At 36.7% G+C, this 20,220-nt stretch overlaps 1 protein-coding gene across 1 annotated transcript in view; it reads left to right on the top strand.

Annotated features, from left to right (window-relative positions):
• Positions 1,590–20,220, top strand: part of ALDH1A1 (aldehyde dehydrogenase 1 family member A1) — a 52,383-nt gene continuing 33,752 nt past the window's right edge. Inside the window, exons 1-2 of the mRNA NM_000689.5 lie at positions 1,590–1,708; positions 14,391–14,495. Of these exons, the coding sequence (NP_000680.2) occupies positions 1,643–1,708; positions 14,391–14,495 (171 nt within the window). The 5' untranslated portion in view covers positions 1,590–1,642. The remainder of the gene's footprint in view (positions 1,709–14,390; positions 14,496–20,220) is intronic.

The raw sequence follows: 20,220 nt of genomic DNA, 5'->3' as shown, positions 1-20,220 counted from the left end.
ACATAAGACACGGGGGAGTCAAAGGCATTGGGAATGATATTGCCTTAGAATCTAGGGAGTTGGCCCGTGCACCAAATCTGGCCTGCCTTCTGTCTTTTTAAATAAAGTTCTATAGGAAAACAACTACACCCATTAATTTACCTATCATCTACAGTTTCTTTTAAATAGAGTCAAGTAAATTATATCAGAAACCATCCAGCCCAGAGGCTGAAAATATTTACAGAAAAAGTTTTGCAAATTCTTGTCTTAGATGAATAAAAAGTTATGTTTAAATGCCTGTAAGGGTGACTATTCACTGAGAAAACCAAAGCAGTTGATGCTTGAACCCATGTAGGAGTTCTCTTGTGGAGAATAGGGTAGAAATAGTAAACAGAAATAAGAGTCCAGGTTTGGGAGTCAGACTGGCCTGAAATGAAATTCTGGTCCTGCACTAATAGATCTGTGACCATAAGTAAGCTACTCACCCTCTGTATGTCTCTAAAATGGGGATATGAAATGAGGGTAGAAAGGGAAACAAGTGCTGCACCTGATTTGGGCAAACAATTCAGAAATTTTTAGTTTCCCTATGTAAGTCCCATATTCAGGGGAATTGGCAAGTTTCACTAGAAAAAAAAAAATTGGTTGATTCTCCACAATCAGAGCATCCAGAGTATTTTATCTTGTTCCTATTGTAACGTTTGCTAGAGCTACAATACAATAAAGTATTGTACTTAAAATGGGAGTAACACTGTTTAAAAAATTGTCCTTCAGCTAAATATTAATTTAAGAACTTGAATTGTTTGGAAGCCCTGCTTAAATTTAGTCTTTGTACACTGCCTATGTTGATAAATACAGACAACTTCCAAAACCAGGATTACTTTCATTTTAAATGAGTATTAATAGATGATATTGCCATATTTCTAATTGTGGTGATTGTGTGTGACAGTGTGTTCCGAATTCCCTAAAAGTCCTGCTGGCTTTTCTGTTCACATATAGAAAATAAAGATAATTTAGGGCTTCTGAGATCACAGTAGGTCTACTTACCCAGCACTGAAAATACACAAGACTGATACGATATTTTAAAACTAACTTAGGGTAGGGTGTAGATAAAGGGCCTTTCTTCCCCAAACAGCACCTTGATTTTCTGGGAGATGGACTGATTTCCTGAAAGCCTTGTCCTGAAGACACCTGGCCAGCTTCTACTGAGAACAAGTGCCCTTTTAGACTCTTTTCAATCCTCAAATTCTCTGATTCCAAGTCTGTCAGAGAACAGAAAGTTACATAGTAGCATTAAAAAGCATGAGAAGTCAAAAAAATAATAACTGGCCTTAGTGGCCAGAGCAGCTGCTGCATACACTTATCACAGGTTTCGGCTTTGTAAATTAATTCATCTGCAAATAGTGCACTGTCTCCAGGTACAAATTCGATGCTGGAGCACTGGTTTCTTAAGGATTTAAGTTTAAAGTCAAAGGCTTCCTGCCCTAGGTGTTACAAATAAGTAGTGTCGTTTTCTTTTTTTGCTCTGAGTTTGTTCATCCAATCGTATCCGAGTATGCAAATAAACTTTAGCCCGTGCAGATAAAAAAGGAACAAATAAAGCCAAGTGCTCTATCAGAACCAAATTGCTGAGCCAGTCACCTGTGTTCCAGGAGCCGAATCAGAAATGTCATCCTCAGGCACGCCAGACTTACCTGTCCTACTCACCGATTTGAAGATTCAATATACTAAGGTGAGTAAAACTTCTATTTTCTGCTTTGACTCGGGTTTGCAAAAACTGCATTTATGTAAAGCATTAAAGGTCAATTTAAGTAAACTTGTGTAAAGAGCCCTTTGCAAATATAAAAATAAAAGGCATGCAAAATGCAGGTCTCAGTTTAGTGTCCTGATCAAATATGATCTAAATCATATCAGACAATCTTTCATAAATTTATTTCTTAAAATATTTCCAAGCGAAAGGAATTCTCTTCTGTGTGAAAGGATTCTTATACCAGGATTCAGAGGACTTTACTAAGCACTTCTATTAACTTCACTATAGCCGGCATGTATGATAAGAGAGCAAAATACTCACTAGAGAAGCTTACTGGAAAGAACCAAACGAGTAGGAACAATAGAAAGCAAACAAGGAGAAAGAGAGCATACTGAAATAACATAACTTTCCAATATGTTTAATAAAATGAGTGTTAAAATAGGGGGACTTAAGTCTGATAATTGGATTCGAAAATCTTCAGATGGACTTGCATTATTTTGCATATTTTGGTGGGAGGAAGAAAAGCATTATTTCTTCAGCCAAGTTTGTTGCCATTGGAGCAGATGTGTAATTGTTAACTGATAAATATTTAGAGAAACAAGAGCAGGAGCTAGATCCAGACTTTAAAATCCGCAGCTGGGGGGAACTAGGAAATGGATCCTGCTTGAGTCGTTCTGAGAGTAACTCTGAACTTTGCCTGTTTCACACTGCTTTCCTGTCAGATCCTAGAACTCCAAAACAAACAAATGAATAAAACACAATCTAACCAAAATTACTTGAAGTTATCTTTATGGTGTGATGCAGAAAGTATGGTAAGAAATTAACTCTTGCAAATCAAGAGAGAGCCATTTTGCTGTCTGAATTAGCCAACAGAAAAACAAAGGGCATTATAATTTAATGATAAAGTAAAAGTCCCCACTGTTATATATTTATTTCCTCACTTGTAACCATGGATGGCTTTGAAATCCCAAGGTCTGTTGCATTTTCATTTTCATAAAGCACAACAAATGAGGAAGTTGCTCAGCTGATTGGCTCTTTTCCTCAGGAAAGTAGCAGCAGAGATCAGATTGTGCCTTTAACATGGTTGACCAGCAGCTATGAAGTGTATTTTAAGGTATTGTTATCACGAGGTTTTGTTAAAGAGGAAAGATTTTTTCCATTTAGTTTTACTACAAATGGTAGCATGAAAAATGCAGTAAATCCATACCGTCAAACAATTTACATTTGGCAAAGGTATGTCCAAAAGGTTGCAAGAGTCCAGTCTCCCTCATTTTCTTATTCCAAGTTTGTCATTCACAAGAAATTTCAATTGAAAGTGGGTACATTTAAAAATACATTTCATGAAGCTCAAAATTGTCGACAATGCTCAGATTATTGTATTACTATTATTAATGGGATTTTTTTTTTAATAATACTACCTAGGAAGATATTTTGGTAGTCTGGATGCCCCTGTCTCCCCACTCCTTTGGCTTTGCAGAAGTTTGCAAAGTCTTCCTTGTGTGTGTATTTCAAGGAAGCTCTAATGTAAATAACCTTCCTGCTAAATTAAGCTTCACTTAGTAGTCATTAACTAAGCATGTAAGAAGCGGTACTAGACAAATGAGATGGTCCTAAAAATCTAACATACAAGCACAGACCTAATGAACCCTTAACACAGAGAGATGATTTTGAGATTGAAACCTATTCACTTCGAAGTCACTGTGCAACAACTCCCCTCTAGGGAAAGTGACTGACCTAAGTGTCCAAAAGAAGGCAAGACTCAAAGAGCAGGCGTTTTGCTCTGTGTTTAAGAACTTTTCTGGGTAAAAATACTCCAAACAAGTCAGTGAATTTTGATTTCTCGTGCATCTTCTATATAAATCTGTTCTGCTCAGATAGCATTTTATTGTTTAATTTATTGGTTACAGCGTTTTCACACTTGGGAGGACGCCAGTTATGTATGTAATTAAATCTAAATGGGTGAACTTTTTCAAATGCCTTCGCATTTTTTGTTTACTATGTCCCAGTGAAGAATTGGATTGAATTTGCTCTTGCAAGAGGAGTTAAAAAAAAAAATGATGGTTATTAACTATAAAAAGTTCCCTGGTTACAAACCAAGTAAGCAAGGAGTTTATAGTGTCTGAGGAATTATCTTCTATTACCAGCCCCTAAAGTCTTGTGTTATTTTTCTGTTACTATTCTAATGTCCTTTTTTATTATTATTATAGCTAGAAGTATATTGGTTGTTAGGACAAGTTGGAGAGAACAGACAGGGTTGAGTAAAAAAAAAAATATTACAACTACGATAGAAAAGCTACATACTCTCAAGCTTGGGACTGCTTTTCACCCAAACAAAAGAATTTATTGATGCATATGTTTTTATGACTTATTTTCTAGTACAGTCTGATTATTTCTTTGTTGGGGTAGATTAAAGAGAGATCAGAGTTTAAGAAATGCTTTCTAAAATTATACAAAAGCTTTTGGAATTTAAAACCTCAAAAACATCGCTATAAATTCACTAATATGAACTCATATCCCATCCTTATCCTCATTACTCCTCTTTCCAACTCTAAATGAACCCCACATTTTCCATTTTATTGAGCCTTTAAATGAAGAGATTCTTTGAAAGTTATGTGATCATTGGGCAAGCTACATTACTTCTCTCTGCCTCGGTTTTCTTATGTTTAAAATGGGGATGATAAAGGCACGTATTTTCTAAGGTCGATGAAAGTATTAAACGAACTTAATGCGTACAAAGCCCTTGAAATAATGCCTGGACATGGGAAATGATTTAACGTTAGTGATCCTAGTCCTATTTTTCTGAATCCTTTCCAGTTTTTCCAGAATATTCCCTTTTACCCAACCTTTCCTAGACCTGTTTCCTACAAGTATGCCTCACGTCTTCTCCTAGCTTTTCTGTCACTCTTTTTTGTACAGTCATGTCCCATCTGACAAAGATTGCATCAGAGTGAAGTTCCAAGGGTCTTCCAAGATTTCAGGGATCAAAAATTTTCTCCTACAGGATTCGGTAACTTTGTTTGCCATTCTCTCTTCACAATACTGTTGTTTTACCTTTTCTTTTTTCTTTTTTTTTTTTTATAAAAGGGAAATAGGAAATTCAAGAAGACAAGCATTCTCAGACAGAATTCAAACGCCAAAATGTTTAACTTAATTAGTAAGCTTCACTTATTAAACCATGGTTTGTTCATGCTACAAAAGACCTTCATCAGCTAATGACATTTTACTCATACATACACACACACACACACACACGCACACACACACACACAATAAATAATTATAGGTAAAATTTATTGTGCTTACTCTGCCATGACTGTTTAAGTTCTTGACAATGATTTTATTTACTCCTCATAATAACCCTATGAGGAGGTTACTATTCCTGTTTCACAGTTCAGGGAACTGAGGAACAGAGCGGCTATGTAACTTACTAAAGTTACACAGCAAGTAAGTGACAAAGCTACACTGCCAATGCTGGCAGTTTGAGCTAACACACTAGCAAGAGACTTGTCTAAGGTCAATTCCACTACTCTGGGACACTGACTTGCCAGAATCCTCTTGTATCCTTCTTCATCCTGACTTTCATTTGCCCATTGCTGATTACCATGGTCTTTCCAGCTGCTGCTCAGCTGTTCCCAGGCCAATAAGAGAAAGTTTGCAGCCAACTTAGAAAAAGAGAACAATAGGGAAATTGAAAGGAAATAGGTTTTCTGCTTTGACTGAAAATGTGACGTTTGGGCTAGGAGAGGCTATGAGGCAGAGGACTTTGACATGGATGTGAAATGTCTGTGTGAACTACATTTCTTCAACTCCTATGGAATCGATTTTGGTTAGAGTAGGAGATTGCTTTCCTAGATTTCTGGTTTTGTTTAACCCTTCTGGGTTAAAGAGATATTTTCAATGGAGAAGAGTTATGAATCATTGAATAATACGTCCCAGGCACGATTTGAAGTGCTTCTTTTCCCCCATGATTATCTCTTTAAATTCTTACAACAAACAAATTCAGCTACATGAACTTCCAAATACCTCCTTTGTCCCCTTTGCTTGTTTCTCCCTTTTGCTTTTCGTTTCTCCCATATTTCCCTTCCTCTTATTTAACAAGGCCTTGAATGAGTGCCCTATGCTAGTTCTCATGATATAAGAGGGCTAATATGATTCACGTCTCATGCAGCCTCTGTTCCTGGAAGGTGTGTGGAATAGTGTGGGGCAGAAAATAAGAGAATGCTTTAATCAGAAATTAGGATAAATGTTTAAAGCAAAATAACTGAAAGCTGAGAGGATATGAGTAGAAGAGCTTTTGATGAGGATTTTTGGGAAGGTGCTTTAAAGGTAAGCCTGAGGGATGTAGAGAATAAGGTGGCCAAGAGTAGGGAAGAACAAAGATCCAGAGGTCTTACCACATGCAAAGACCCCGAGGACAAGAGCATGTTATGCTCAAAGAACTATCCAAAGGCTAATCTGGCTGGAGTAAAGTGAATAAGGGAGAGAATGGATGAGATGAAACTGAAGTACAGGCTGGGGCCAGATCGGCTGGCGGATTTTGAGGAAGATCACTGAGAGGTGCTTAAAACAGGAAAGGACTTATGTTCAACGCAAAGCTGATTGTGCTGTGATGCTGCTTTCACTTGGGAAATGTTTTTAACTTCCTTCCAACTGAAGCAATATTTTGTTTGCTTTGGGCTTGGAAGCAGGTGAAAAAAATAGCTGACTGGCTGCAAGGTGCAGTGACTGAACAAGCTAAACCTGGCTTCAATTTCCAGCTATTCTATGTATTTAATTATATGACCTTGGCCAAGCTTCTCATCCCCTGGAGCTTCAGTTCCTCTGTCTGTGAATTGGGAATGAGAATGACTACCTTGGAAAGTGGCTGTGAGAATTAAGTGAGGTAATTTGTGGAATGTGGCTGGCACTTATTAACTACTTAGTCCTTTCTCTCCTTGATTCTCTTTCCCAAGATGACTCCTAGAATTATATGATCATTCTGTTCTCAATGTAAGTTATATTTATATTGCTTATCACAGCTCAAAACTGATTTCATATATTTCTCTCATTTGAGGTGCATCATTAACCACTGAGAGGAGCTAGAAAAGATGTTAGCAGAGTCCCATTTCAAAGCTGAGGAGCCCGAGCTCAGAGATCATGACTGACTTAAGGTCACATAGCTCTTAAAATGCAAAAGTAGAATAAACTGGATTCTAAATCTTTTTATCTTGGATCTGATGCTTTCCCACATGATATCCTTTTTTCCTTAAATATCAAAACCAGTAGTACTAGAATCTCACTCAAGAAAACCTAATCAAGAAAAAAATCTGAAGTAAATAACACATATCCTAAGAGAAGAGGGTATTATCCCCCTTTCCCAATTAGCTCTAACAACTGTTTTCACACCTATTACTGCATTTTTATCATTCATTCCTTACTGTGGTTGAAAGAATAGATCTAGGCTGAAGTCTGAGATTCTGTGTTCTTAACAGTCTTTCAGCTTTTGCTGATGCTACCAAAATGTCTGTTGACCAGCAGCAAGGGTCTAAAAGTTTTAGGTGAGTGAGCCTTATAACTTCAATGCAGCAACCACCTTCCAGTTACTTCACAATAGAGCTTCCAGTTTCTTCCAGAAACTAGCACTCAGCCACATCAGAAACTTTCCTTTCAGAAAGTGCCAGAGCTAAGCAGAAACATGATGATGGCTACAAACCAGTGACAGAACCAATCATTGATTTTAATAGTGGGAGATAATCATTTACTAATATTTAGAATGCTCATCTCTGAGGACTGCTGTCTTGGCAAGTTGTTTTGTTTTCTGGCACCTGCCTGACTGTAAGAAAATGGAATTAACAATTCTAAAGTAAAGAACACATGTCCTAAGAGAGGGTATTGTCCCCATTTCATAAGGGCTCTCAGTACAACTCTTTATATAACTTTGTAACAGGGACTTTAACCTATTGAATTTGTCACTACATACTTGCCAGAATGAGGGAAACACTCTTAGAGAATATGAAAAATAACTCATTTGAAGACCAACCCAAAGTAAAGGTAATGACTCTGAAATGGCATGGATAATCTATAGGATGATATGTTGCAAATCAGCATAAAATAAATCTCACAGAAATACAGACATCAAACAGAGATATCTGAAAATAGCAATTATCTGGCTTGGGATGGTGGTGTGGGGGGGTGCACTTTGGTTTGATTTATCATGATGCTATTATAACTATAGCCAGGGGATATATTATATGTTTACAAAGTGTAAGTGACAACATAGAACCATGTTCAAAAGAATTTGAGCAAGGATTGCTTCACAAACCCTTACTTAGAATCCAATAAATCAGAAAAGTAAATCTGTGTAATACTGGTTTTCCTGACGCTGACATGTTTTGGGTGTATAGATGTATATAGCAAAAGTATCCACAAACTTAGAAGCATTGCTTGAGAAGGATGTGAAGTGTTGCTAATATTGGGTTTTCTGATATTATCTCTACCTGATTCATTGTAACGTTTGACTTACTAATGGAAATTTGTTCACTGGGGAATTTGCACAAATCTCACATCTCTAAAAACTTTGCCTGAACCGTTCCCTCCCCCAACCCTGGTCCCATTTCCACTGACTATTTCCACTGCTCTATCGATACTTTTTTAGATGTCAAAGGAATACAAATAACTACTGAATTATGCTTTATATTTGGCATTCTTTTAGAAGGAAGAGGGCTTACATGCGAGCAATTCTATTACTAGGTCTTGATACTGCTAAAAATGGGCAGAACTTTCTATCGCTTCTACATCTTAACTCTGATACAGAAAATATATGATGTACAGAAGTTGCTGACAAGTTTTGTTATCATCTCTAGGACACAGTGATGGAGTGGCTCAAAACAAATGCTGTGGCATCTTTTCTCTTTCCCTGACACAATTGAAAAGGCTGATGGGGTTTTGCAAACAACAAGAAAAAAGAGTATATACTCACGTTACTAAAGTCAGACTATCATTTAAAACAAATGAAAGGAAAATTTTATTTCTCCTATTTTTTGTTTTCGTCATTCTGTCATTTTGTTTTCATTCATTTGATGACAGTTAAAAATTTTCTTTCCCTTTGTTATTTCCTCCTTAATTTCCTTTTACATTTTCTAACTTTGAGTCTCAACATTTTGCTTTCCTGCCTCAGGGTTAGGGTGCAAAGCAGTTGCCAGAGATCCAGCTTTGATTCTTTTAAATGTTTAACACCCCACCTGACTTTTGTTCAGTCTCTCCTCCTCATTATTCATCTCCGATCTCATACTCCCTGACTCCCAGCGGCCTTTAGTACTTTGGTAGGTTCCTAAGCTGAGAAAAGGTTGACACATTTACAGCACACACCAGTCTCCACAGGTTCACACCACCACCCATGCAGCCTATGCTGTGACTCAGTTCTCAAGTTTGAAAATTCACATGGATGACATTAAATGGGGACTCTCATCACCCTCCCTCTCGTTTGGAAAATCTTAAAAGAAATTCTTTGTGCATTGAAAATGTGATCTCTTAAAATCTCTCTCCCACCAAGAAAGTATTGCCTTCCTTTACAGACTCTAGGGCTGCTGGCCCAGTTGCTGCCCTGCCGAGATAATATTAATTTAAGGCACTCTGAGTATCTTTTGCAAGGAGTCAGGGGCTCCCCACTTTAGCCCACAGACTCCAAAATCTCATATCAGCAGATAAGGCAAATAGGGCTTTATTTTGCCACTAGTCAAAACTAGCTTTATCCAAGCCAGAAATATTTTGAGAAAATTATGCTTATTTATTTAGAACTGTAGATTTATACACAATACATTAAGACATAATAACTTTTACTCTGGAAAGGCAATTTTTTTCACAATTATGACTAATTCTTGGACACCAGTTGAATCCAGGAAATGGCTACTTGTTTATCAAAGGTAAAATGATGCATTTCTTAAAATGTGGCATATCTAAAATCTGAAGTGTAAAAATCCATTTCTAAGTTGCCTCAACATTTCTATTGATTGCTTCCCCATATAGAAAGTACTTGAAGTCCAAGAGTATGCATAGGCATTTATAATTTCCAATCAATATTTCAAACAGAAGGTTGATGTCTACTTTACATATATATTATTCAAAAGTCACCTAAGTCCAAAATTCATAATTAGAATTGAGTTAATATATAATGGTTACATAGAACCCAAGAATATTTTACTTTTATAGTATCATCTCTTTTCCTCTAAGCTGGCTAAAGGCAAAAAACAAATGGAAAATAATATTGTCACCATTATAGAACATTAAACAAGCCTAATGTAAATTTTATAATTATTATAACAAACATTCATTAGCCTAGACTTCTCCATATAACCATTAATATAACTATAGGAACAGTGATTATACAAAAACGTTTGGTCACACAGTTAGCTGGAAGGCAAATGCCCAATGTAAAGCTCCTATAATTAAAACAGAAAAAAAATGTATTTGAGGTAGGCCCTATGAATAAATTATCTGTAGCTAAGGGGAAGAAAAAGACTGGGCAATACCTGGCCTTCTAACCATCTAGGTCATCACATTACCTATGCCAAATTCCCTTTTCATGCTGAAACGCCTCTGTTTGTGGGAGAATGGCATAATTCATAATTTGTAGACTGCACTGTTACATCACTCTCCTTCAAAAGCCTGTGACCTTATGATAGGATTATGAAATTAGTCTCAAGGCTAATTTCTTGGACTCTGGTTGGTCTACTTCAAATCTACTTGGGATACTTTAAAATCAGTATTCCTAAACATCCATTTGATCTGGTCTCTCTCCCTTTTTATATCCAGAATAGAGCCTAAACTTCTTTCTCTGGGGATCAGGATCTGCCACAAATTGACTTTATTTTCAATGTCAGGCCTTATCTGTGACTTATGTCCACTGCAACTCCATTCTGTTGGGAGCTGCTCTGTTTACTGTGTTACAAACCTCCAAAGATTTGTCCCTCCCTTTACTCTTTTTTTTTCCTTCTTTCCACCAATCCAGTTCCATCCTTCAAAGAAGCATTCTTTCAGCCTATGCCCCTCTACACCATTTATTGACAACACCGCTGCTTTGGCCATTTTGCTCCACAGTCTTTAATTCTGTACTGGCGGCTCTTGATATGAATACATTCTCCTCTTAGATTATAAGCCCCTGAGAGCAGAGGCCATGGCTAACTCATCTCTCATTTTTCCACAATAACTGCCAGACTATGTCTCAAGTATTTACTCATTATTGGACAAACACTTTTCTGATAAAGCAAAAGTTACTAATCATGATTATATAAATGTCAACACAAGTTCAAACACAAGTTGGGCTCACAGTGTCCTCCTGTCTTAAAGGTTAAAACTGAATAATGCAGAACAGTGCTGGTAATTTGGGGTCCTCTACAGCTGATCTCTTCAGTTGCCTGCAGGCTGCCAGATAAACATGTGTTATTACTTCAGGTTAATGCTCATTTACAAAACATTCACTGGCTTTAATCTAAAGTGGCAGTTTTATGTACAGCTTAGATGCAAATTCTGATCATGGAACTAGATGGTACATACATACTGTAATAATTCTTTTACAAAAAAGTGTGTAAAGAGAGTAAAATAAGCTATAATATATTGAGAGCATATTATTGAGAACTTGAAACCACAGATTATCACAGACCTAAGGATAAGAGGACTCGGGCGAGAACTAGAAAGTCCGACCACAGGCCTAGCAAAATGTAATTGATTCTGTATGTTGTTTTATTTTATTTTTAATGAAATTACATTGTAGAAGGGTGAAATTCTGGATCTCTGCCAAAATGAAATCTGTGTTCCCTTAGTTTACAGGTACAAAATCTAAGGTGGTAATACAATCTTTAGGCAGAGAGAAGGCAGAATTCCCAAGTGAATAAATCTGATGCAGGTTTTGAAAGACTGATTTAAAAGTCTACGGCAGGTATCGCAATATCTTTAGTTTTTTGTTTGGAATTTTATGGGCTGATATGTAGATATCTAACATTAACACAAAGCAGAACATAAGTAATTTATCAGTAGGATACTAACATGTTATGTTGGAAAGAAGAAAAAAGAGATTAAATTCAATTGGAGCAACTAGTCAAATCTTCATGAGGAGATGACGCAGTAAGCTAGAATTTGAAGTAAAAATAGAAGAAAATAGTGGAACTCTAGTCTAAAGAACAGTGTGAATAAAAGCATGCTGCAAAAAACAGCATGGTGTTTGAGGCAGTAGAATGAGGCTGGAACAAAGGGTAAACTGAGGGAATGGTAGAGCAAAAGACTGGAAAAGCATGTTGGAGCAAGATCGTGAACCACCTCCAGTGCCATGTTAAGCAGTCTGACAATAGAGGATCACTAAAGTATTCTGAGGAGGGCTGTAGACAGAATCTGAGGAAGATTATGATGACAAGGTGAAAATTAAATTTTAATTAGGCAGAGGTAGGGGGCAAAGAGAACAGGGAAAGCTTTTTTATACTTGTATAGAACAAAGTGATACAAAAGGGTACCTAGGGATTATTTGTGTCATTAACAGAAGAAGGAAAGTGTGTGAGAGATAGGGCTGGGGGACAGTGTGCATGAGCAAGCTTCAGAACTTTGGGGTGAGAGCAGCATAAAGCTAGAGATGACAGTGAGCTGAGTTCGGGACAAGTTGATTAAGTTCTTTCCCAGCCATCCCTTGAGAAGAAAAATACTAAGCTGTAAGGGCATAAATGGAAACACTCTAAGAATAATTATGGGATTCTGTAAAATGTATTTCTGATAGCTAGAGTGTTGATTCACTCTAAGAGACATTGGGCAAATCAGCACTTTCGTCTGAATTTATTTTTCCTCAAGTTGATCTAAGAGCCTAGTGTTTTTTCCCAAAAGATAATACAATGAATTTTATGGTCTTCATCTGTATTCAGTTAATCTTGTTTCTGTAATCTGATAGGGTTTCTTGATACTTCTTCCATCTTTCTCATTTCCCCATATATGTATTTTTGCACATCTAGTCTCTTCATCTGAACAGCTTTGGGCCCCTTTTCCCTTTATTTAGGCATGCCCATGTGTTTTACCATCAATTTCAGGCTAGTACTACAATTCCTTTGAATGCTTCTAACTATACAGGATAATTTTCTTGTATGGAAATAATGCTGTTTTCTTGTATGGAAAATTATATTGGCATGAATGGGCAAACAAGACGGCTTATCCTCTTCCCCATTTTGTAGGAAATCACAAGTGTCATAGAGTATTCATTTGCAGAACGTTATAGATCTTATCCATGAGTAGCTGATGGATTATAGATCTTTGATTCAATTAAGTTAGTTATTCAAGAATTTTTTACTGAGGCTAAAATTGCTTGAGGGCTGTTGGACACTGAAGATAGACTGGAAAACCATACACAGCCCTTGATGGAAGGCAGACACTTAAAAATGACTATTTAAAAAGTGACAAATTGTCCAATGGAAGTATAGAGGAGACCAGGGAAGTATATTTTGTCTAAATAATAAATCACAGAATATAGAATGAATTATATTCAGGCATTTAGGGATATATAGTAATATACATTTTATTACTCTGATAGAATTTTAAGCTATGCTAGTGATCACCGGGGAATTTTTAATAAATAAGTAATTTGCATTTAGCATAGTAGCTAATTTAAACCTTGGAGGAGTGTTTCATTACATTCTCCCTCGGGGTTGAACTATTAATAACTTATCTTTAGATATCCAGTAAGAAGGGATGTCTGAATTAGGATATATGTTATAATCCAGCACATATGTCACCTTCCTTTACTCCCTGTGTTAGCTACCTCTGATTCAAAATAGAATAAACTAGTCCATCTTGTCATAAGTCTAACAGAAAGTTATATACTATCCAAGACTGTATTTATGATTGTTTTCATATTTCAAATAATTAGAAATGTGAAAGCTGGCTCCTCAAGAAAAGACAAATTCAGTGACATGAAAGTTGAAACTGAGATGTTTTAAATGACATACTGATGCTTTTAAGTATTTCTATTTTATAGTACACACAGACAAAATTTCATATTTTTTAGTGCTTACTGTTTCTTTAGTTGCATGTCTATTTCTCATAGTTACCATTAAGAAATCTTGTTCCTGATTTTGTCTGAAGACAACGAAATTACCAGGTAATCTTTTGAAAAGGAGAATAAAACCATATGCTTTTAAAAAGCCAATGAAACAATGTGACTAGCTAATTTTCTCTAAGTGAACTCCTTTTAGAATCCTTTAGCAAAATTCTTTTTTTAACTTTAAAACATTAAAGGATTAGAAAATAGTCTCTTATGATTCCAAATCACCAGTAGCCGAAAATGAGGATGTTCAGAATTTAAAGTGGAAAATAGAAGCAATCATTAATAAAGACCAAGCCCACAAAAGCCTTTGCTTTGCCTCAAATTCATGGCCATTTCAGGTAAAAGCATTGTTTTCTAGATTGTTTTCTCCAGTATGTATTTTCTAGTGTTGAACTGATTGCATACCTTAAACTTAAAAGCATTATGTACTTCATTTTAGTACATGTCTATGCATGTGAACACAAAATGTCTCAAACAGCCAGAAAGTTTTGAGAGGTGAAGAGATGTGCATCATTTAGGCATGGTGAAATGCTTTAGTTTAAGTTTATGAAAACTTCCAAAATTTTCTGCATATTTAAGCGCCTTGTATGTATTTTCTCTTCATCTCTACAGATCTTCATAAACAATGAATGGCATGATTCAGTGAGTGGCAAGAAATTTCCTGTCTTTAATCCTGCAACTGAGGAGGAGCTCTGCCAGGTAGAAGAAGGAGATAAGGTGAGTTTCTGAACACTAGTTTCATTTTATGCCAGGTTTCTTGGTTTTTTGCCATTCTGAGCTCCTGAACCCCATTGCAAGCTCCAAAAGACATGCCATGAAAATATGGTTTCTGGGGCAGCTTAGGAAAATTGTCTAAGTTGTCCTTGTTACCAAAAAAAAAAAAAATGCTCTGTAGTTATGTAATAATGATAAACCTGTGCTTCTGGGTGTCATGGTGATTTTTTTTCACATCATTTTCCTTTATTTTCAATTGAAATAGTATATAGATTTATTTTACAGACTATATAAGAAGGGATTGATCATAGGTTATAAAGTAGAGAAATCTTCAGCTGGGCGCTGTGGCTCACACCTGTAATCCCAGCACTTTGTGAGACCAAGGCAGTTGGATCACTTGAGGTCACGAGTTCGAGACCAGCCTGGCCAACATGGGGAAACACCGTCTCTACTAAAAATACAAAAATTAGCCAGGCATGGTGGCACATGCCTCTAATCCCAGCTACTCAGGAGGCTGAGGCAGGAGAATTGCTTTAGCCCGTGAGGCAGAGGTTGCAGTGAGCCGAGATCATACCACTGCACTCCAGCCAAAAAAAAAAAGAAAAGGAAAAAGGAGAGAAATGCTTTATTCATATGAAATTGTTCTTTTTATGTTGCTAGATAAAACTAAAAGTTATTATAGAACTTTTAGAACAATATATTACTAAGTTATTTTATTAAAAATCACTGCATTAATATTATTATTCAACACCTGTAAAAATTATATTATAGAATAACTTAAATTGACTAACAAATTACAAGCGTTGTTATTTTCCAGCTAATAATAGAAACAACAAAAACCAGTTTTTATTTAGTGAAAATTGTTCTCAAGTTCTAAATGCTATCTTCATTTAAAACTTAAAGCAACCCTATAGGGCAGGTACTATTTTGAGTCATTTTTACAAATAATGATGAGATGGCAGAGTAGAAAGGCTGAGTAATTTACTCAAGGTGACATTGCTAATAAGTAATAACCTCAACATTAAAATGCTGTTCCTCTGACACTATAACCTGTGCCTAGTAGGGCTACTGCTTCACTTTGTGATTATTATGAAAGTAAGATAGGGTTGGCCGGGCGCAGTGGCTCTCACCTGTAATCCCAGCACTTTGGGAGGCCGAGGCGGGCAGATGATCTGAGGTCAGGAGTTTGAGACCAACCTGACCAACATGGTGAAACCCCACCTCTACTAAAAATACAAAAATTAGCTGGGCATGGTGGTGGGTTCCTGTAATCCCAGCTACTGGGGAGGCTGACGCAGGATAATTGCTTGAACCCGGGGGTCAGAGGTTGCAGTGAGCCAAGATAGTGCCATTGCACTCCAGCCTGGGCAACAAGAGTGAAGCTCCATTAAAAAAAAAAAATTAAATAGTCTTTCTTATTATGAAAGTAAGATATCCCAGCACTTTGGGAGGCTGAGGCGGGCAGATCACAAGGTCAAGAGATTGAGACCATTCTGGCCAACATGGTGAAACCTCGTCTCTACTGAAAATACAAAAATTAGCTGGGCATGGTGGCGCATGCCTGTAATTTCAGCTACTCGGGAGGCTGAGGTAGGAGAATCACTTGAACCCGGGAGGCAGAGCTTGCAGTGAGCCGAGATCGCATCATTGCAGTCCAGCTGGGTGACAAGAGCGAAACTCCGTCTCAAAAAATAAAAAATAAAAAATTAGATAGCATAATATTAAATAAACTTTTTATTCTCCTCCTGGGTGAGGAGAGTAAAAAACTTCAGAATATTTTTCTGAACACGTAAGTGTTTCTAAGTCTAATTTGAAATGATTTTTCTGCTCTTTAGTTGCCCAGGGGTTGCCAAGTTTTAAATTTCTGTAAAGAAGTAATGTTTTATTTTATTTTATTATTATTATTATTGCTGCAGGAAAAGACTACTGGGAAATTAAAGTCAGCAACACCCAAGGATAATATTATTCATGACAATGTGTTTTAGTTAATTATAGCGATCACATGTTCCTGCCAGTCTCCTGCCCAGTCTTTTCCATTACTTTAGCCCCAGTAAATGAGATCACAAATCTCAACGTACTGGGCCATGCAGATACTTATTCCAAGATAGTGACAGACCTGAGGGGGCCCTTTTAGATTTAGGAGAGGCCCTTGGTTCAGATTTCAGTATGATGAAAACAAGTAAGACCGAAGTCTCAAGCCACAGGAGTACGGAGTTCAACCATAGGGGTTAACAATTTGAGAAGTAGAAACAAAATAAAATGATGACAAATGTCACTGGCTTTCAGATTCAGATTTACTCTTTATACTGAAGAGTTCACCAAAGCATAAATTCTCCATTCTGCTTCTCACTGTCTGTGGGAAAAAGTGCACAAACAAAGGTCCTTTATAATATTACTCAACCTTTGTTTATGGCCTCTTTCCCAGGCCACCGCATTAACTTAAGACTTTCAACTTCGTCATGCCCAGTGTCCATCCCCAACAATTGCTTGCTAGTCACTGCCTCTGTACATGTCCACAGTGTAGTCCTCAGGACCTAGTTCAAGTCACCATCTATAGTAAGAGCGTAGATTTTCAATGTTTGTACTTAACCTTCTTTGAGATTCTGTTCTTTTTCATGTAAAATGAGGAGATAGAAAATGCTTGAGGAGTTAAATATATAGAGCTCTTCAACGGTGCCAGGCATATCCTAAACCTTCAGTCATGCCCGGGTTTTATACTTATTTAAAGCCTTCTCTAACCTTCTCAAGCAGACTTACTCTCTTCTGTGTGGTTATAGGACATTGTATTTGCCTGTATTATAACCTTTGTATTATACAGCTATAGGTTAATTTGTCTGAGACAATATGCTTCTTGCAGAGATCAACACTGCATCTCTCATTTATATCCTTGGTTTCTGGATATAGTATATCCTATAAGTATGCTATACTATATTCGATAGATATACTATACTATAGATATAGTATATTCTATAAATCTATGAAGTAGTCTTCTTTTTCATCAAGTGTTGAATTTCCATACATTCCACATTCCTCACCTTAGGAATTTAGTACTAACCTGACTATTGGCTATGGCAGACATTCTCAAAATTTAGCCTGTCTCAGAATGTCCAGGAAGGCTTGTTAAAACACAGATAGCTGAGCCCCACCTTCCCCTAGGTTTCACTGCAATAATCTTAGAATGGGACCTGAAAATTTTCATTTTTTATCAATTCTTTGGTAATGCTGATGTTGTTGGTTGGGAAGGAGGTGAGGGAATGCATCTTGAACCACCGAACTAAAGTGTTAAGCTGTTAAGTTGTATCTCCTCTCAAGCGTTAACATTTAACAGGGGTCAAAGAGTTTTGACACCTAAGAAAGTTAGTGATTGAAAACTGTACTGTGGTGATCACTCTGCACCTCTCTGAAATGCTACCAAACCAAAATTGGGCATAGAAATACTGATCATCCCTGGCAAGGTCTATAGGAGCCCCAGAAGCCTGTGCCCTATAAGCCATTCCCAGAAATAAGAGAGAAATTTATTCTTCACCTTTCAAAGAAGAATGAACGCCTTTTATCAGAGACTTCAGGAGATCCACACACCACCACCTCAAATGTTCCTCTAGTTGCTTGAGTGGCTCTAGCAGGCCTGGGAAGGTGAGAAAAGCAATAAAGGGCAAGGACAGAGTGAGCCCTTGAGAGCTACATACTTTCTCTCTCCATTCAAGAGGAAGGCCAGATCTGTTTGCAGTTTGCAACTAACAAACAGAAAAATATTATTGATGTTTTAGTTCTGGAGCCTTGAACATCGACCTTTGCCACTGGGATTAATTTTATTAGGAAAACAAATCTCTATGCCCAAAGTTCCAGTTGAAACCTTGTCAGGCAGTCTGAGGACTTTTCTTAGTGAAGTTTGTGGGATTTACCTCCTTCCTAAAGTATAGTAAGGGAAAGCTAATGATCATACTGGAAGACTTAGAAATGTTTGCCACTGATTTGCTCTGTGCTTCTTGACAATTACTATTGCTTACCCAAGAGATCAAGGATGCTCATTAACATCTACCCAAGCTTCAAATCAGGTCACAATGCCAACTGAGTTGGCTGGTCAACTGGTTACTAAAACTAAAATGTTGATGGTATAAACTGTTCATGGTAAACCAGTTTGAACATCTAGCACTCTTATCATCACATTCTTTTTTGAATTATTTTAAAACATATTTTTAAATAATTATTGCTCTTCCCACAATTTTGCCGACAAATGTATAGTAAACTCCGACATTGCTTAGTGAAAGGTACAAATCTAGTAAATTACATAGTCACAGTAAACCTAATATGCTGTATCTGACTCTGTAGATAATGAGCCAAGAGGTTTTAGGGATTTAATTTGTAAGTAGAATGGGGCTAACAATGGGCTACATACCGCCTTTCAACGGTATTATAAAGAAAAGAGGAAGGGCAAGAACAAATGGAGGTTACAAAGCAAAGTACAGATGTGGGTGGGAACTGTTTTCTTTTCACTTCAGTGGTTCTTTTAGGCTATATTGACTAATCCTGAAAACTGCTTTTAATACTAAGGCATGACCTAACAAATAATTGGTGGGGATAAAAGTAAATGTCCGTTAAAGTAAGTGCCTTTGACATGTGTAAAAGTAAAACTGGTCTGATAACTATTTTCTCCATCTCTGAATGAATTTAATATGGAAATGTACCATCTGGGAGTGATGGAAGAGTTCAGTCCTTCCTTAACTGTGCTTTAGGAGGCATTTGATATCTCATCATCATTTGAACTGTCTTTTTACATTCAGCTTGTGGCCCTTACTTCAAAAAAAGGAGCATTTTCAGTGCTATAAGCAAAATTGTTATTGATGGTGGCAAATCTGAGTTAATGTACCAAATTGTTTTCTGTTTAATTAAAAAATTATATCCCTGAAAATTCCAGTTCTGAAATAAAAATTTAAAAAATGCTAGTCCTGGAATTAAGAAAACAATAACTGTTATGTCTAACAGTTTTTGAATAATGTATAAGTTTTGTTGTATCATGGAATCTATTAAAATATGATTTATTATGTAAATGCCAATGTAGTTAAATTAATTATGTAAGGCACCCCTTATATAAAATCAGTACAACATGATGAGTTTATAAAACAGGTAACCAAATTATTCAAAATTTATTTATTGCCCATTGTAGACCCAGAATTGTAAGAAATATTACAGTTTACAAAACAAATAGCAGTATATATTTGTTGCAAAGGAGGTCATTATTAGGGCAGCCTTACAGAGATGTAAGAACTAGATTTTGTAGTCAGATGTGGGATCAAAGGTTGATTCTACTGTCTGCTAGATTTCATATCCATGAGCCATAGTCTATTCATTTATAAACCAAGGCTCATGATACTTAATAGTAATAGTAACTATGGGGCTTTAAAGAACTTTCCTTAGTGCCTGGAGCTTAGTAGGCTCTTAGCTAGTAGCCATCATCAAGCTGGACTAGTCTGGCAAGGTTTTAGGTAGATTGATATTTGAGCTGGGTCTTAAAGTATATATAGGATTTAGAAAGTAAGGGAGTATACTGGTATAATATTCTAGGCAAGGAGAACTACAGACACAAAAGTAAGAAGGAGTTGGGTCAGATAGAGTAGAAAAAATGTAAACACTAAGTTTGGATAGGTGAGATGTGGTCTGAAAATCCTGGGCCTTGAAAACCAGGGAGGACTTTGACCTTGAGATTGTAGATGAAAGGGAACAGGTGTAA

This window comes from Homo sapiens, chromosome 9 (assembly GCF_000001405.40).
Source record: "Homo sapiens chromosome 9, GRCh38.p14 Primary Assembly".
Taxonomy (NCBI): domain Eukaryota; kingdom Metazoa; phylum Chordata; class Mammalia; order Primates; family Hominidae; genus Homo; species Homo sapiens.
Note: the sequence above shows the minus strand (reverse complement) of the source record. Positions and strands in the feature narration are given on the sequence as shown.